The 16,000-nt window shown below is 42.0% G+C and overlaps 1 protein-coding gene across 25 annotated transcripts in view; it reads left to right on the forward strand.

Annotated features, from left to right (window-relative positions):
- The window catches only part of KATNAL2 (katanin catalytic subunit A1 like 2), a 184,650-nt gene that overhangs the window by 126,976 nt on the left and 41,674 nt on the right, over positions 1–16,000 (forward strand). For 10 of the 25 annotated variants that reach the window (NM_001353899.1, NM_001353901.1, XM_047437879.1 and 7 more), the window contains 5 exons: positions 1,888–1,958; positions 8,311–8,477; positions 9,827–9,869; positions 13,666–13,783; positions 14,987–15,085. In NM_001353899.1, the coding sequence (NP_001340828.1) occupies positions 1,888–1,958; positions 8,311–8,477; positions 9,827–9,869; positions 13,666–13,783; positions 14,987–15,085 (498 nt within the window). Of the gene's footprint in view, positions 1–1,887; positions 1,959–8,310; positions 8,478–9,826; positions 9,882–13,665; positions 13,784–14,986; positions 15,086–16,000 lie in introns of those variants that run through there. The other 15 variants (NM_001353904.1, NM_001353903.1, NM_001353907.1 and 12 more) reach the window with 6 other exon arrangements.

Genomic DNA, 16,000 nt, shown 5'->3' on the forward strand with positions numbered 1-16,000 from the left:
CGAACATGGCAAAACCCTGTTTCTACTAATAAAGTACAGAAATTAGCCGGGTGTGGTAGCGGGCTTCTGTAATCCCAGCTACTCAGGAGGCTGAGGCAGGAGAATTGCTTGAACCCGGGAGGCAGAGTTTGCAGTGATCGGAGATCATGCCACTGCATTCCAACCTGGGCAACAAGAGCAAGATTCCTTCTCAAAAAAAAAACAAAAACAAAAACAAAAACAGTTTAAAATGGGTCCGGTGTGGTGGCTCACGCCTGTAATCCCAGCACTTTGAAAGGACAAAGTAAGAAGATTGCTTGAGGCCAGGAATTTGAGAACAACTTAGCCAACATTGTGAGACTCTCATCTCTACAAAAAATATAGAAATCAGCCAGATTAGTTTTATCTAGGTGGTAGTGTGCACCTGTAGTCCCAGCTACTGAGGAGACTGAAGCAGAAGGATCACCTGAGCCTAGGGAGGGCAGGGCTGCCATGAGCCCTGACCATACCACTGTACTCCAGCCTGGGCCACAGGGTGAGACCCTGTCTCAAAAAAAAATTAAAAAAGAAAAAAAATGGTTAAAATGGTAAATTTTATATTACATATATTTTACCACAATAAAAAAGCAACTTAGAAAAAAATTTAGTATTATTTGATTTTCAAATATTTATATGCATATTTTAATTTCATTATAACATTAATTTTTAGAAAACTCTGCATGAATGCCTGAAAAATGTTTTTTGGTTTTTGGTTTGTTTGTTTTTCTTTTCTTTTCTTTTCTTTTTTTTTTTTTTGAGACAGAGTCTTACTCTGTCACCCAGCTTGGAGTGCAGTGGCAAGATCTTGGCTCACTGCAACCTCTGCCTTCCAGGTTCAAGTGGTTCTCATGCCTCAGCCTCTCGAGTAGCTGGGATTACAGGTGCCTGCCACCACTGGCTAATTTTTGTAGTTTTTGTAGAGATGGGGTTTTCCCATGTTGGCCAGGCTGGTCTCAAACTCCTGACCTCAAGTGATCCATCCGCCTTGGTCTCCCAGATTGCTGGGATTACAGGTATGAGCCACCGCACCCAGCCATTGAAAAGTGTTTCTATGTATCATGAATATAAGTGTTTGTGCATAGATTTTGTGATGTAATTTAGGCCACACAAAGACCTTTTATGGCTTTTGTCTAGTTCTTACCTGTATTCTACTTAGATAAAGATAGATAAGTTATTTTCAAATAAGGGAAGTATTACTGAACATGACTATTTTGTGAATACATTTTGGGGCAATTTGAGATACCAGTTTCCTAAATGTAGCACATTAACACTGTGAATAAGTGCACGGATTCATCCAGTTTGAGCAAAGACCTTATCATACAGGAGTTGTCCTTTTATGGCCTCTGCTATTCTCAGTGGCTATTCTAAATCCTTGCCTGTGCAGTCACCCCTGAATGGTTTGTGGGAACTCATCTCTGCATTTGGCAAGGACTGGGCGGGGCTCTGAGTGAACTACAGATATGGTAGCAGGTAAGTGCCTGTGTTGTCACAGATGATTTCTGGCTCACAGCTGATTATCTTTTTCTAATCAGTTTCCTTAACCTGGTCCCAATAGTAGTAGATGTACATTTGTTTCTTCACGATTATAAGCAATAAAAGGCCGATTGGCTCGGCAGGAAGAAGTCCAAGTGGTAAAGAGCAATCCTAATTAAAATCATTGTCCCTTAAGTTTACAATTGAGAAGGCAGCTGTGAGAAGAAAATAACAATGGAAAACAACTTTATATGTCCTTAGAGACTTCAAATTGCTTTCCAGCCTTTAAGTCATGCTGCTTGGCTTTGACAGGTTACATTTACCTTCCAGGGTTTATTGCCGTAGGAGCAGTGTTATTTTTTGTTGTCATCCTACCTAAATTTTCCTCTGTTCCAGTGCGAGATGAGGACAGAAGCACGACGAAAAAATCTTCTCATTTTGATTTCGCATTATTTAACACAAGAAGGGTATGTTACAGTACAAACATTTATAGAGATGATTCCTCTTTCTCTGCTCTCTACTTTTCCAGATGCGTACTTTTAAATACAATAGACTTTCTTGTTTAGAGCAATTCTATATTTACAGAAAAATCGAGCAGAAAGTACAGAGTTCTGTATGCCCCTTCCCTTTTCCAGTTTCCTCTCCCAGTGACATCTGTATTGATGTGGTTTATTACTACCGTTGATGAGCCAATACATTATTAACTGAAGTCCATAGTTTACATTAGGGTATACTCTTTGTGTTATATTGTGCTGTGAGTTTTGACAAATGCGTAATGGCCATGTATTTGCCAATATGGTACCATACAAAATCATTTCGCTGCCCTAAAAATCCCCTGTGCACCACCGATTCCTCCTCCTGCCCCAACAACCCAGACATACACTTTTTTTTTCTTTTGAGACAGTGTCTCATTCTCTTGTCAAGGCTGGAGTGTAATCATGGCTCACTGCGACCTCTAACCACATCCCCCTGCTCCCAGCCTCCCCAGTAGCTGAGACTGCTGGTGTGTACCATCATGCCTGGCTAATTTTTGTATTTTTTGTACAGACAGGGTCTCACCATGTTTTCCATGCTGGTCTCAAATTCCTGAGCTCAAATGATCAGCCCACCTCAGCCTCCCAAAGTTCTGGCATTACAGGTGTGAGCCACTGCACCTGGCTTCAGACTTATGCTTTTATTGCCTCATTTACCTAGATATTTTTCACATTAGATGTTGAAAACTTTTCAACAGACCTATCCAGTACATAAAGTACTTTTCCTTTCCTCTACACATTTGAAGATAGCACAGAAATGAGGTTTTTCTATAGTCTCACTGCTGGCTATGTGCACAAGATAACTTTCTTAATCAGTTTTTCTTTCCTCAAAATAAACGTATTGCATTTACTTGGACAACCTAAACCCAACTCTCTTCTTCCTCGCAATGCCCATTCTATAACTGGCAGGGTGAGGAAATTTAAAAACTTTTGGGTTTGGCCACCTACCTCATTAAAAACACACAAGCAATTACAGTAAGGGCTGCTGCTACTGTGCTGGATGATATAAGAGTAAGAGAGCTGCTCCACAAAGTGTTTGAAGGGCACTATCTACTTTATATTCGCTTTTCTTTTCAAATTTCAGCCAGGAAGAAAACATGTAGGTTTCAGACTAAGAGCTTACAAACTTTTTTTTTTTTGTAACAGATGGGGGTCTCACTCTGTTGCCAGGGCTGCATGATCATAGTTCACTGCAACCTCTAACTCCTGGGCTCAAGGGATCCTCTCACCTCAGCCTCCTGAGTAGCTGGGACTACAGGCACATGCCACCATGTCCAGCTAATATTTAAATTGTTTTTAGAGACAGGATCTTGCTGTTGCTCAGGCTGGTCTTGAACTACTAGCTTCAAGTGATCCTCCTGCCTCAACCTCCCAGTCACTGAGATTAGGGCTTTAAAACTTTTGAGTTAGAGCAGTGGTTCTCAATTAGGATGATTTTGTTCCTTGGGAGATATTTGGCACTGCTTAGAGGTCTTTTTGGCTGTCACACTGGCATCTAGTGGGTATAGGCCAAGGATACTGCCAAATGCCATCTGACGCACAGGACAGCCCCCATAACAAATAATTATCTGACTTTGAATGTCAACAGTGCCAAGATGGAGAAATCTGGAGTTAGAGCAAGAAAAACCAATCAATTTTTGATATTTTCCCAAAAAGTCTGATAAGCATCTTTTCCTCCATTAAATAAGGGAGCTACTGGAACTAAAAGTCGGTTTTGAGACTCCAGTGACCCTCGTCCTGGAGAGGTACAAAGGAAAAAGGTGAGGAGGGCAGGAGGCAGTTGACAACGAACTGAGAGTTCCCATTGTTTCTCTTACCCATGCCAGCAACCACTGCTTTCAATAAACCTATTGCCCCCTAGAAGGAAATGAGTGCCCCCGTCCCATGGTTAGCAGACAGGCAGGCCATCAGTCACTTCTCAGCTTAGGCTCAAACTCTGTATCTCCACATAGCAGTGGGGTGGAATTGAGCCCCGGAGCAGGGCAGGGCTGACTTTGGTCTTTCTGTGCCTCTGTTTCTCCATCTGGGCTATAAGAGCATTCCTGAAATTGACAAGCCAGACAGTCTGCATGTGGGTAGTGGGCTGCTCTGCTCTATTCACCAGGCACTTAAGTAAAGTAACCCCAAGGGTAGCATATGAGAAAGTGCTAAGTGTTCAATCTATGACAGGGCTGTGGGGCTTGTTGTCATAGGGACGGCTTCCAGGATATGCGTATAAACTTAGAAGCCAGACTCTTTTTTTTTTTTTTTTTTTTTTTTGAGACGGAGTCTCACTCTCTCGCCCAGCCTGGAGTGCAATGGCGCGATCTCGGCTCACTGCAAGCTCCGCCTCCTGGGTTCAGGCCATTCTCCTGCCTCAGCCTCCCGAGTAGCTGGGACTACAGGCACCCGCCACCAAGCCCGGCTAATTGTTTTGTATTTTTAGTAGAGACGGGGTTTCACCGTGGTCTCGATCTCCTGCCCTCGTGATCCACCCGCCTCGGCCTCCCAAAGTGCTGGGATTACAGGCGTGAGCCACCGCGCCCAGCCCAGACTATTTTCTTTCAAATGTCTGCTCTTCCCTTTGCTAATCTGTGATCTTGGACAAGTTACTTATTCTCTTTATGCTTCAGTTCCCTTGTCTGTAGAATGGAGTAATGGGGTATAGCTAAGTATCAGGTAGATGCCATTATTACGAGGATTAAATATGTAACATGCTTAGAATCATGCCTGACAATTACACTTATACTTCTATTATTGATAGGATTTGGGTTTTATTCTCTTAATACCCAACTTGGTTCAGCAAAGGACTTAAAGAAACTGGAATGTGGGCTTGGCCCATTTTACATCATCTTTTGATGGAATCTCAGCTCTATCCAAAGAACCCTGAGTTAAAATACCTCAAGGTGCTTTTCTGAGTGTGTGCAGCACTTGGAGCAGTAGTTATACAGAATATTAATAGGTGTTAAAGAGTTTTGTGGTCAGGTAAGCTTGGCAGATATTGGGTTAAATTAAACTAGGTCCCTCATTTCAGGACTTCTCAGACCATCTGATTTACTATGTGCAATGAGAATATCATACTAAAGTCACAGTATTCAAGGTTTTGCAAATCAATTTGGCCAAAGCTTTTCCAGGGTTTTGTTATTGTGGTTGTTGTTTTGGAGACAGGGTCTCACCTATCATCCAGGCTGGAGTGCAGTTGCCCAATCATGGCTCACTGCAGCCTCAAATTCCTGGGTTCAAGTGATCCTCTCACTTCAACCTCCTGTGTAGCTGAAACTACAGGTGTATGCCACGACACTGTTTGTTTATTTATTTATTTCCTTATTCATTTATTTTTGGTAAAGATGGAATCTCGCTATGTAGACATAGCTGGCCTTGAACTTGTGGTCTCATGCAATCCTCCCACCTCAGCCTCCCAATTAGCTCAACTGCAGGTGCGTGCCGCCATGGCTACTTTTTGTTTCGTTGTTTTGTTTTGTTTTTTGGTAGAGATGAGATTTATCTGTTGCCCAGGCTGGTCTGGGACTCCTGGGCTCAAGCGATCCACCCACCTTGGCTTCCAGAGTGCTGAGATTACTGGCATGAACCACCATGCCTGGCCTAAGGAACTCTTTTTTTTTTCTCAGACCATCTTTAGAGACGAGTTTTCCACAGATAACTTTGAGAATGCTGTCTTCCTAGATAAGTTGACTCTTATAAAACTTAAACTCACCATGCCAGGTCCCAGCACTGTGAACATAGTAACAGAATCTCAGTAAATGTTATTTGCATAGCCATTGAGGAACTTACTAGAATGTAGATGGGTAGAATAATTAGAAACGAAGACAATGCCATTTTCACAAATTATCCCTGATTTTTTATTACAATGTATTTTTTGTTCCAGAAATTGTATCAGAAAGAAGAACTGTAAAAACAAAAAGATAAAAATAAAAGTCAGATGTAGTTGTTAAGGCCAAGTAGTTTGCTGCTTACAAAGCATGCATTTTTCCTTTCTGCCACGAGATGGCTCTTTGTATCGTGAATCAATGAAAGTTCTACTAGAACTGATCATTTTCCGAAACCTGCTGGGAAAGGGACAAATGAGTGGACTGTCAAAACGAAAATGAACTATAGGTATTTTTAAGGACATATGAGTGTCAATAAAAGAGATCTGCCTTAACGAAGTTCTACAAATTCAGCAGAGGATAGATTACTGTGGATTAAAATAAACAATCAGGGAAAGCTTTGTAGAGAGGGTGACGTGAGCTGGACTTAAAAGATGTATAGAATATGAATAGACCGATGTGATGTAAGGCCATTCCTGGCAGAGGCACAGAGGAAGAAGGGGCACAGCCTAAGTGGAACAATTAAGTAAACAAGAAGACCAGAGTTTGAATGTGTGAGTGAGAATTGGTGACAGCAGACAATGGAGGGTCATGGATGCTGGTTCTTCTATTAATAGTCCTCCATATCCATCTTCTCGGGCTTGGGTAATTTTAGTAGCCTCTGCGTCTCTCTCTTGTGTCTTGTTATTATGGCCCAGTATTGCACACTACTCCTAAAGTCCCGTCCTGTCGCTCTGTTGGTTAAGAATCTCTAGCGGCTCCTCCTGCCAACCACATCGAATTCAAACCTCATTCAAGCTCAGCTCACTTGAGACCAGACGTTCGGGACCAGCCTGGGCAGCACAGCAAGACCGCATCTCTACAAAAAATAAAATAAAATAAATAGCTGGGCGTGGTGGTGCACGCCTGTAGTCCAAGCTACTTGAAAGGCTGAGGTGGGAGGATTGTTTGAGCCCAGGAGTTCCAGGCTGCAGTGAGCCAAGATTGTGCCACTCCAGCTTAGGTGACAGAACAAGGCCCTGTCTCTAAAAAGAAAAAAAAAAAAGGTTAAAAAAAGTTTGTAAAAACAGAGGAAATGTTAGTCATTTTCTCTGAGGGGCAGAATTTTCTTTTGATTTACCAGTATTTTCTAGTTTTTTCTTAAGTGAATATGTATTACTCCATACTAAAGTTATTAATAAAAAACTGATTTAGTTTTTCTCTCTGTAAAATGAGGATTAAGACATAGTATAGAAGCATGGTGAGACATGAAAAAGTATAGAAGGTGATTGGCTAGAGTCAACTGACTGTGGTTTGCAGCTTCTTTAAAATTAGCTTAGGAGAGATACATACATTTCAAGGTCATTGAAAATAATCATGGCATCTTCTTTTAAGAAAGTTCAGGCTAGGCATAGTGGCTCACACCTGTAATCCCAACACTTTGGAGGCCAAGAAGGGAATCAATTGCTTGAGGCCAGGAGTTTGAAAGCAGCCTGGGCATCATAAGGAGACCTTGTCTGAAAGAAAGAAAGAAAGAGAGAGAAGAGGAGGGCTACTAAAAAAGAAAGTTTTCTCTTTCTACTTTCCTGGATCTAGATTCAAATGAAACAGAAAGAACTCTAACCTGCAGCAGAAATCTGAATCTGGGGTCCTTGGATGAGCTCCTGAAATTGTATGCTAATTTGCACATGTGCACACTTTTCAGGAGAAAATTGTTGGTTTTAAAAGAAGTTAAGAACTAAAATTTAAGACCTGGAGAGTCTTTCTTCTTTCAGAGGATTTTGAGACACAGCCCTTGCTTCCAGTGCTAAGGCCACTTATATTGGACAGTTTTACAACTGAACAAGTTAAAAATGACAGTAAGGAACAAAGATCAAGGTACTACTTTTATACAGAAACACTCTGAAGTGCAATGTGTGACTGATTAAAAAATTACCAGAAACAAATAATACATTCCAAGTGGATGTTATCTTATATGAAAGTTCTTTGATGATCTTGATTGGTAGATCTTTGGAATTTCCTTCAGTGCTCGAGACTTGTTAATGTGAATTACTTCAATGATGGCAAATTTGGGTTGAATTTGGGTTTTATCATTTTGCCAAATGTTACCTAAAATGAATACCTGTGAATAAAGAGGTAACCAAGTTTGGGCAGATACCCATTTTAGGCTGCAAATGAGTAAAGACAAATCACAAGATGTTTCTTGGTTGATTTACTTATTTGACTTTTAAGCACTTCCAAAAACATCCTTAACAACGGTGACATCACCAGAATAAGTATGTAACTTTCAAAGGCAACTGCTTTGAAAGATAATAGTTAAATATACTTAACAAATATGGGGCTCTTTATAGGCAAACCTCCTATGCACATACTAGTTTTCATCTAATGTGCTATATATAGGCTTACTTTTTGTATTGCATCCCTTTAGACTTGTAATGCCTGTTAGCCATTATTCTTTTCACCTCAGTTAATTTCTTCTTTTTATTCTGTGAAACTGCCAGGTATATCGATACAGCAAATGCTTTGGAGCAAGAAACTAAACTGGGGTTACGACGGTTTGAAGTTTGTGACAACATTGATCTTGAAACTATTTTGATGGAATATGAGAGTTATTATTTTGTAAAATTTCAGAAATACCCCAAAATTGTCAAAAAGTCATCAGACACAGGTACATGCCTATTTTCTAGAGATAAGGCTTTGTCTCATCTGTAAGATTAGTGTTTCTTTCTCATCTTATTCCCAGATAGATGGAGACCCTCACCCTGCACCAAAGGAGTAGGCCAGGAGGATTGTGTAGCCATTCTCATATCCAGCACAGACAACTGAAATATGATTACCTGGACACTGATATCCCTTTAGGCACTTTGGCATTTGTTTGAGAAAATGTGTTTTCAGGCAATGAAAGCAAAACCCCAGTGTATCATAGGTACTTTTCAGATGATTAGCATTACTTTAATTTCCTTAGAGATGAAAAGAACTGTTGGAAGAGGATAAATGACAGAAGACTTTTTTTGTTTTTAGGAGACCTATTATCTGTCTTGAAAATAACTACAAAAATGAGTATTGGGGAAGCTAATAGCTCATGTATAGATAATGAAAAGCTTTTGAAAGCCATCAATCCAGATAATGATCAATATAATATAAAAACCCAGTATAGGTTAGCAGTCAACAAGGCTGGCTGGAGGAAAGATCTAAAGTGGGGGCCCTGTGCTTTGTAGTAACATTGACTGAGAAGTCTGTAAGTGGGGGAAGTAATTATAAACCAAGGGAGATCATTGTCCTGTTTACAAGCCACTTGTTAAGCCACAGACTTTAACATTTCATGTAGGGACCGGGAAACCAAGAGGAACATCAATTTAAAATAGCCAGGGCCAGATCTCAGAGCTAGAAAAGGTCAAAGAGGTATTTTATCTGAGCTCCCTTCCAATGCAGCATTCAGAGCTTGACTTCCTTGGCAGGTGGTTAGATGTGGGCCTTGAAGAGACAGCCCAGACTCCTAAACACAGGGTGATCAGCACTGTTAGTGACATGATCTCACTTCCAGATGGCTAGTTCCCATCTAGCATGATACCCAAATTCTCCTATGATATTGGACACGTTATTTTTATTTTAACTAGCAGAGTATGACTTCAGTGTTCCCTGCCAGATTCGTGCAATCATCCTGGTGTCCCATGTAATGCAGCAAAATGGTGTCAAGTTCATGAAAGCGTAATGAAATGGTAGCTGTAAAGCTAGCCTATATTGGAGTTGCCACCAGGTCCACAGTCTCTGACATGTTTAATATCTGAGCCCTTTGCAATCTTCCTCTGTGAGGAGATGCTGGAGAAGCTCAGGCCTCTTTCTCTTCGCTGGTAATTTCAGTTCTCTCTAGATGAGAATAGCTTAAAGTCTCTAGATTCCAATTGGTTAAAACTCAAATTTTAAGAACAATGCAAAAAGGGGAAACATACCTGAAAAAAATCACTTTGTCACTCTTAAAATTATTTTCTTTCCCTCCCAATGTCTGTTTTGTCACAGCAGAAAATAATTTACCGCAAAGAAGTAGAGGGAAGACCAGAAGGTAAAGTGAATGGTAATTCTTCTTAATCGACTCGGCTCGAGGAGCTTGTGGAATCCCTTTCCAGAAGCTTTACCATCACAGCTCTGTGACTGTCTCCCAGCAATACTGACTGCAGTCATGTGACCTGGCCCAGCCCAGGACTTCTCTCATTACAGCTGCCCCAGATTTGGGCCAATGTCCGTCTACTCTCCTGGTTTTACTGTAAATAAGTATATCCTGTGATGCTCTGTCTTTCCAGGCCATGTGGTATGAAAAGTCTTAACCTCAAAGGTTAAAAGACCCAGGTTCAACTCCTGGCTCTGCTATTTACAAGCATGGAGCAAGTTTTGGACACATAGTGAGTTCCTGGCACACAGTGAGCACCCAAGATATAATATTTTCCCTCTTTTCATCATTTAGTTAATTTCAAGCACTCCCAGATCAGATGTCCTGACCTGTCTGAAGATCAACAATGAGCCAGGAGGTGTGAGCTCAGGCTTCTGGCTTCGCCAGTCCTGACCAGTGGGGACCCATTCTTCTCTTGCTTTTCCCTCCTGTTCACAGCTCATCTTGCATTCCTTTCTCCAGCTTCTCAAGTCCAAATCTCATTTGGGGCTTGTAGCCTCTGATGGGAGCCCCTCTGTCTCTGGACCTTTTTGGGTGCACATATTCTCTCACAAGGCCCCCTACTCTTGCCAGTGTCCTTCGCATTCCTCTCGCCCCACTCCCATAGACCCCTCCACTGTCAGAGCTGTTCAGAAATACCCAGGGGAACAAGGGTGCTGCTGCCGGCTGCCAGTGAGGGCCAGCTCTGGGGCATCGCAACCTGTGGGCTGTTGCTATTACAGTAGGGCCTAAACCTCATGGAAAGACACAGCCATCCAAGCAGTCAACAAAGTGTTTAAAGTCTTAAAATGCTCTTGGAAAAAGAAAAGTTAGATTGTAATCACATGCAACTTATTAGGCCCTCAAGAGGTATGGATTCTGTTATGCCTCCGCTACATTTCCCACCCCTGCGACTCCAGTTCCCTTGTTCCAGCCTCAGAAGGAAGGGCCTAGGACACTTTACAGGGCTGGTGGGCACAGCTTGCAAAAATGGCTGTGGAGCCCACGCACGCTCCACGATCCTACTTGTTATAATACTTGGCCTCGGGCTACCTTTGCTTTGTGCTATTCTGCAGGAAGAGTTTTATCGCTTTGACAAAAGTGTTATTCTTTTATTTATAGTTTCCACAAAGTTAGTCAGACTCTGGGTAATAAATGATAACTGCTTGTGCATAGAAATCATGAGGAGCGTTTGCAGCCAGCTTCGGAAGGCTTTTGGATTCTATTTTTCTGGAACCTTCTCAGCATTCTTCCCTGGCAAATGCTCTGTGAGTGAATGGTGTCAGAGTGCTTTGTTCCCCTTAGGCAAGGAGCACCGTGGCACATTTGACAGTGTGGGGGCTCCTCAGCTCCTCTCTGAGTAGATGTTTGTATGTGGCAAGTGTAAAAGTTGAATAGCAAATGGTTAGAATCAGGAGGAATAACTAGGAAAGTAATGAATGGTGTTTCTGCGGACAATTTATACTCAAATATAGTTACTAAAATGAGACATGTCATGAGACTGGCTATTAGCAAATCAAAGTGTCTTTTCCTAATCTTGGAAAAGATTTATAATCCCCACTTAAAGATTTGCTGATGAACCAAGGGAGGAAAGGTTATCTAATGTGATGGATGACAGAAATGGGATCCCAAAAGATCTTGGCAATTCCAGAGATGGGTTCAAAGTAACAAGACGAAATTTAATAAAATAAGGTTTAAGCTCTAACAAGAGTTACAACAAATAGCTCCTCCATTACAAAATCAGAGACCTGGAAATCTCAGTTTACCTGGGCCAACAGTGTGACATGAGTGCTACTGTGGTCCCAGCCCCATCAATAGAAATACAGTGTCCAAAAAATAGGAGGTCACACTATTCTGGAAGGTGACCAGTATGAGGAACAATCTGGGAACCAGGTAACTTTAGAAATGACTAGAGCAACTGCAGATGTTGAGCTTGAACAGATGGCTGGTGGAGGGGCACTCCTTAGAACATTGCAGGAACAGGCTTCAGTTCACCCTCTAAAGGGCGATTGGGCCTTTTCTGCCAAATTCCACAGGGTGCACCTAGGACTAATGGTTAAAGTCAAAGCAGAGTGAATTTGGTTCCATGTTCAGAAGAATTTTACCATCCTCAGAACCAATTTAAAATAAATTGCATTGCTTTGTACATTAGTGCTCTTGTATTTTGGTCTTGTTAAAGCAGATCTTGGGGATCAGTTGCATCCAATGGGAAATCAAAGTGGGAATATAGAATCCCTGTTTCCTGCCAGCTCCACAAGGATGGTGAGGCAAGTTTAAATACAGACACACACACACACAAACACATAAACACACACACACACTTCCACACACACATATATAACTTCTCTTGAGTCAACACTATTAATATAAGTTTGCATTTGTAAAATGCTTGGTTTTCATTTCATAGATATTTTATTTTTGTGCCAGCAAAAGGGTAGAGAAAGACATTCTTATTCCTAGTTTAAAGATAGAAAAAAAAAACCCCAAGAACTGTTAGTGTCCACTTCTCATGACGCTCTCCCCAGTGAGACCAACACTCACAGATGTGTCACCATGTGGACATTGGTGGTGTTATCGACATGTGTGGTCTTGCTGGCCAAATAGTTGTGCATTTATATTAGACATGAACATTTATTATCCCCATAAAGAAAGGAAGTTGAAATAGCAGCTCTCTGAGATCACTCTGAACATGGGGAGACTTGCTTCTAACGAACCTTCTGCAAATGCATCTCACATATGGGGACAAAAGTGCTAAGAGAACTAAGCAACAATGTGGGAGTTCATGTTCTGCCCCCACAAGCTAGTCCTGTCTCTCTCTGGATGGCATCTTCTACAGAAAAATATGGATATTCCAATACTGAATTTTATATCTAATTATGAGGATGTAGTGAAAAAAGTGATTTGATCTTTCTATGGATATATAACATATATACAGTCATACCACATATATAACTATGTATACAGTAAATGTATATACTCTTGTAACCACAGTTACAGCCACCGGCAAGCTACCTTTGCCCCTTCTCAGTCAAATTCTCCCCATCTCCATCAGAGTTAGCTACTCTTCTGACTTCCAGCCCCATCAGTTTGTTTTGTCTGAAGTAAACAATTGTTGATGAAAATTTGTTTGGCAAATATGATTGGTCTGGGACAACATTGATGAAGGGAAGTTTGTTTTCCTTCTGCAATCCCCTTTTGATGTTTATTACTCATAACATGCTGAGAGGTATTTTAAGTAGGCAGGGTATATCCAGGACACTGGATTAAAACCATGGGGCCAATCCCTGGATTTCCTACTGTTTCTTAGTTTGAATGGGAGGACTCCTTTCTCTCTCACACCTTTCTCCTGGTCTAATGCTCCTTTTAAGGAAGGTGGAAGGAACAATGGAAGAATGCTTGTAAAGTAATGTATTCTTAAGAACTAAAGCTATTTGCAGAAGGGCCGAAGCTATGTGGTGTGAAAGGGAAATGAAGAGGGTGAGTTGGGGGGCTCGAGGAGGCAATCTTAGAAGAACCCAGTGAGTAGCCTGGAGGGTGTTAGGGCCAGGATGGACCTGGTGGGTGGATCACATAGGTGGAAGGGCCCTATAGTTGCCACCTGCATATCTTTCAATAGCTTTCTTAAATGTGCTATTCTTAAGAATAGTTGTTTAACTACCTCAAATTAAGTGGCTAGAATAATTTCTTCCAAGGTCTTTGTTCCCTCCCTTAGGATGATGAACGACAGTTGTCAAAATCTTCCCAAGATCAATCAGCAGAGGCCCCGGTCCAAAACCACAGCGGGGAAGACAGGGGACACCAAATCGCTCAATAAGGAGCATCCTAATCAGGTCAGGATGGCTTGGCTTGACTTTGTGAACAGCACACTTGGCTGAAAAATAGCCCTATGAAAAAGGTCACATTTATTTATTTTTTGAGGACCTACGCTTTTAAAATTGCTGTGTGATCTAATTGAATTTTAGGTTTTCTTCCAGTACACTGGACTAAAACCATGGACATATCCCTAGATTTCCTAATGTTTCTTAACTTGAGTGGGAGGACTTTTTTCTCCTCCAAGTTTTTCCCCTGGTCTGGGTGCTGGGTGATTGGCCAGGGTGGGGCCAGGGCCCAGTCAGAGCGGGAAGGCCTGGTTGCCTTGATCCTCCCATCTGAGGTAACTATTACCTGAGGTAACTGAGCTAACCAAGATGGCAGGTCTTCCCATCCCAGAGCACATTGCTAGGTTCCTAAGTGTAGGCCAGGCATAGCCTACACTACATTTCAGGTATGGCTGGGTCTCAAGGTCTCCTGTTGGGCTCCTCCAAATCGCACATGGTCAGCCCTCACCCCAGACCTTCATGCTGGACTTCCTGGGGGCCAAGAAGGGCAGCAAGGAGAGAATCCAGCAGGTGAGAGAAGTCAATGGCTCCTGACTCAGGAGGCTCATGTCCAGAACCTTCTTAGTTAGGACTAAACATCCCAGGTTTCAAAGGAAAGAGGACCAATGGAAACTGAGAAAAGGAATTAAAAAAATTAATGTCAAATAACGGAAAGGTATAATCACAATATCCGATTGGTCAAAAGGATTCTCTCCCCCTCAAGGAGGTCCTACGGTTCTGGCCGCTGCAGCCTGACTCATGTGGAAGAGAGGTGAAGGTGGGGCAGGATGAGTCCCATGGGAGGCTAGTTGACTCTGCCATATCTCCAAACTCAGCCACTCCTGGCCAAAAACACCCCTGATCACAGGAGAAAAGACGAGCCAGCGAATGGGGATGGGTTGAGGCACAACTGTTTGAAGCACATTGGAAAAGCTGCTTGGGGCCCATGGGGCCTGGCATCTTCTCAGTCTTCCAGGGACAACTCTTTCCACATAGTGCAGGCAGACAGCTACTTCATCTTCCTGGGTCTGCACAAATGTGGCTAAGCTACATGTGCATGTCGCGTTCACAGAATTGCTATCCAGCATCGGACTTTGCTTGATGGAGTAGGCAGGTACATCCAGCAACTCTCCATGGCTGCTCACAGCCGATGTGTCCTTGTCTCTCTTTCTTCAGGAGGTAGTTGATAACACTCGCCTGGAAAGTGCCAACTTCGGCCTACATATATCAAGAATCCGTAAAGACAGTGGAGAGGAAAATGCCCACCCACGAAGAGTAAGTGAAACTCATGAACCTAACACTGAAAGTGGTAATTTCTTTTTCCTTTTAAACATGAAAACAAAAAACATTATTTTTGTCAAACAGGAAAGTTAAGATGTGATTTTTGAAGGTTGGCTGTGAGGTAAATGGAGAAGAGCGTCAGAAAATGGGTTCTTCTTTGGAATCTCCTTTCTGAATGAATGGGCTGGCATGAACTGCCCCATCTCTAAGGAACTCAGTTTCCACATTTGTAAATTGAGGGGCTTGGAAGAGATTGTCTCTAGTGTTCCCATCAGCTTAAAAATTCTGTAATAACAATGACAAACATTGGCATGATCATCCTGCATCGTTCTCATCATTTTTTTTTTTTTTTAAGAGACAGGGTCTTGCTCTGTCACCCAGGCTGGAGTATAATGGTGCAATCATGGCTCACTGCAGCCTCAAACTCCTGGGCTCAAAGAATCCTCTTGCCTCAGCTTCCCAAGTAGCTAGGACTACAGGCATGCACCACAACATCCAGCTAATTTTTTTCATTTTTCTAGAGATGGGGTCTCACTATGTTGCCCAGGCTGGTTTCAAACTTCTAGCCTCAAGCAATCCTCCTGTCTGGGCTTCCCAAAGCGCTAGGACATCTGCGTTATTTAGTGAGTTGGAAACGCATACTCATTCTGCTCTGTCCTGTCAGTGGCATTTGATTAGTGGTGTCACCTTTCTCCTTGGAGGGATGGCTCCTGGTCTAAATGTAATTTCATGTGGACCATGAAACATCAGTTGATACAGGGTTGATTTTGTCCTTGATAGATATTTTTACCTTTTTCATAATGAATCTCATGTCTAGATTTCTAAATAATAATGTCTTAAGCAGAAAAGACCCAGATTGGGTGGATGTAGTCAAAAGGTAGATTAAAACATGTAATTTGGAAATGAATT

The sequence above is a fragment of the Homo sapiens genome, chromosome 18 (genome assembly GCF_000001405.40).
Source record: "Homo sapiens chromosome 18, GRCh38.p14 Primary Assembly".
NCBI lineage: Eukaryota > Metazoa > Chordata > Mammalia > Primates > Hominidae > Homo > Homo sapiens.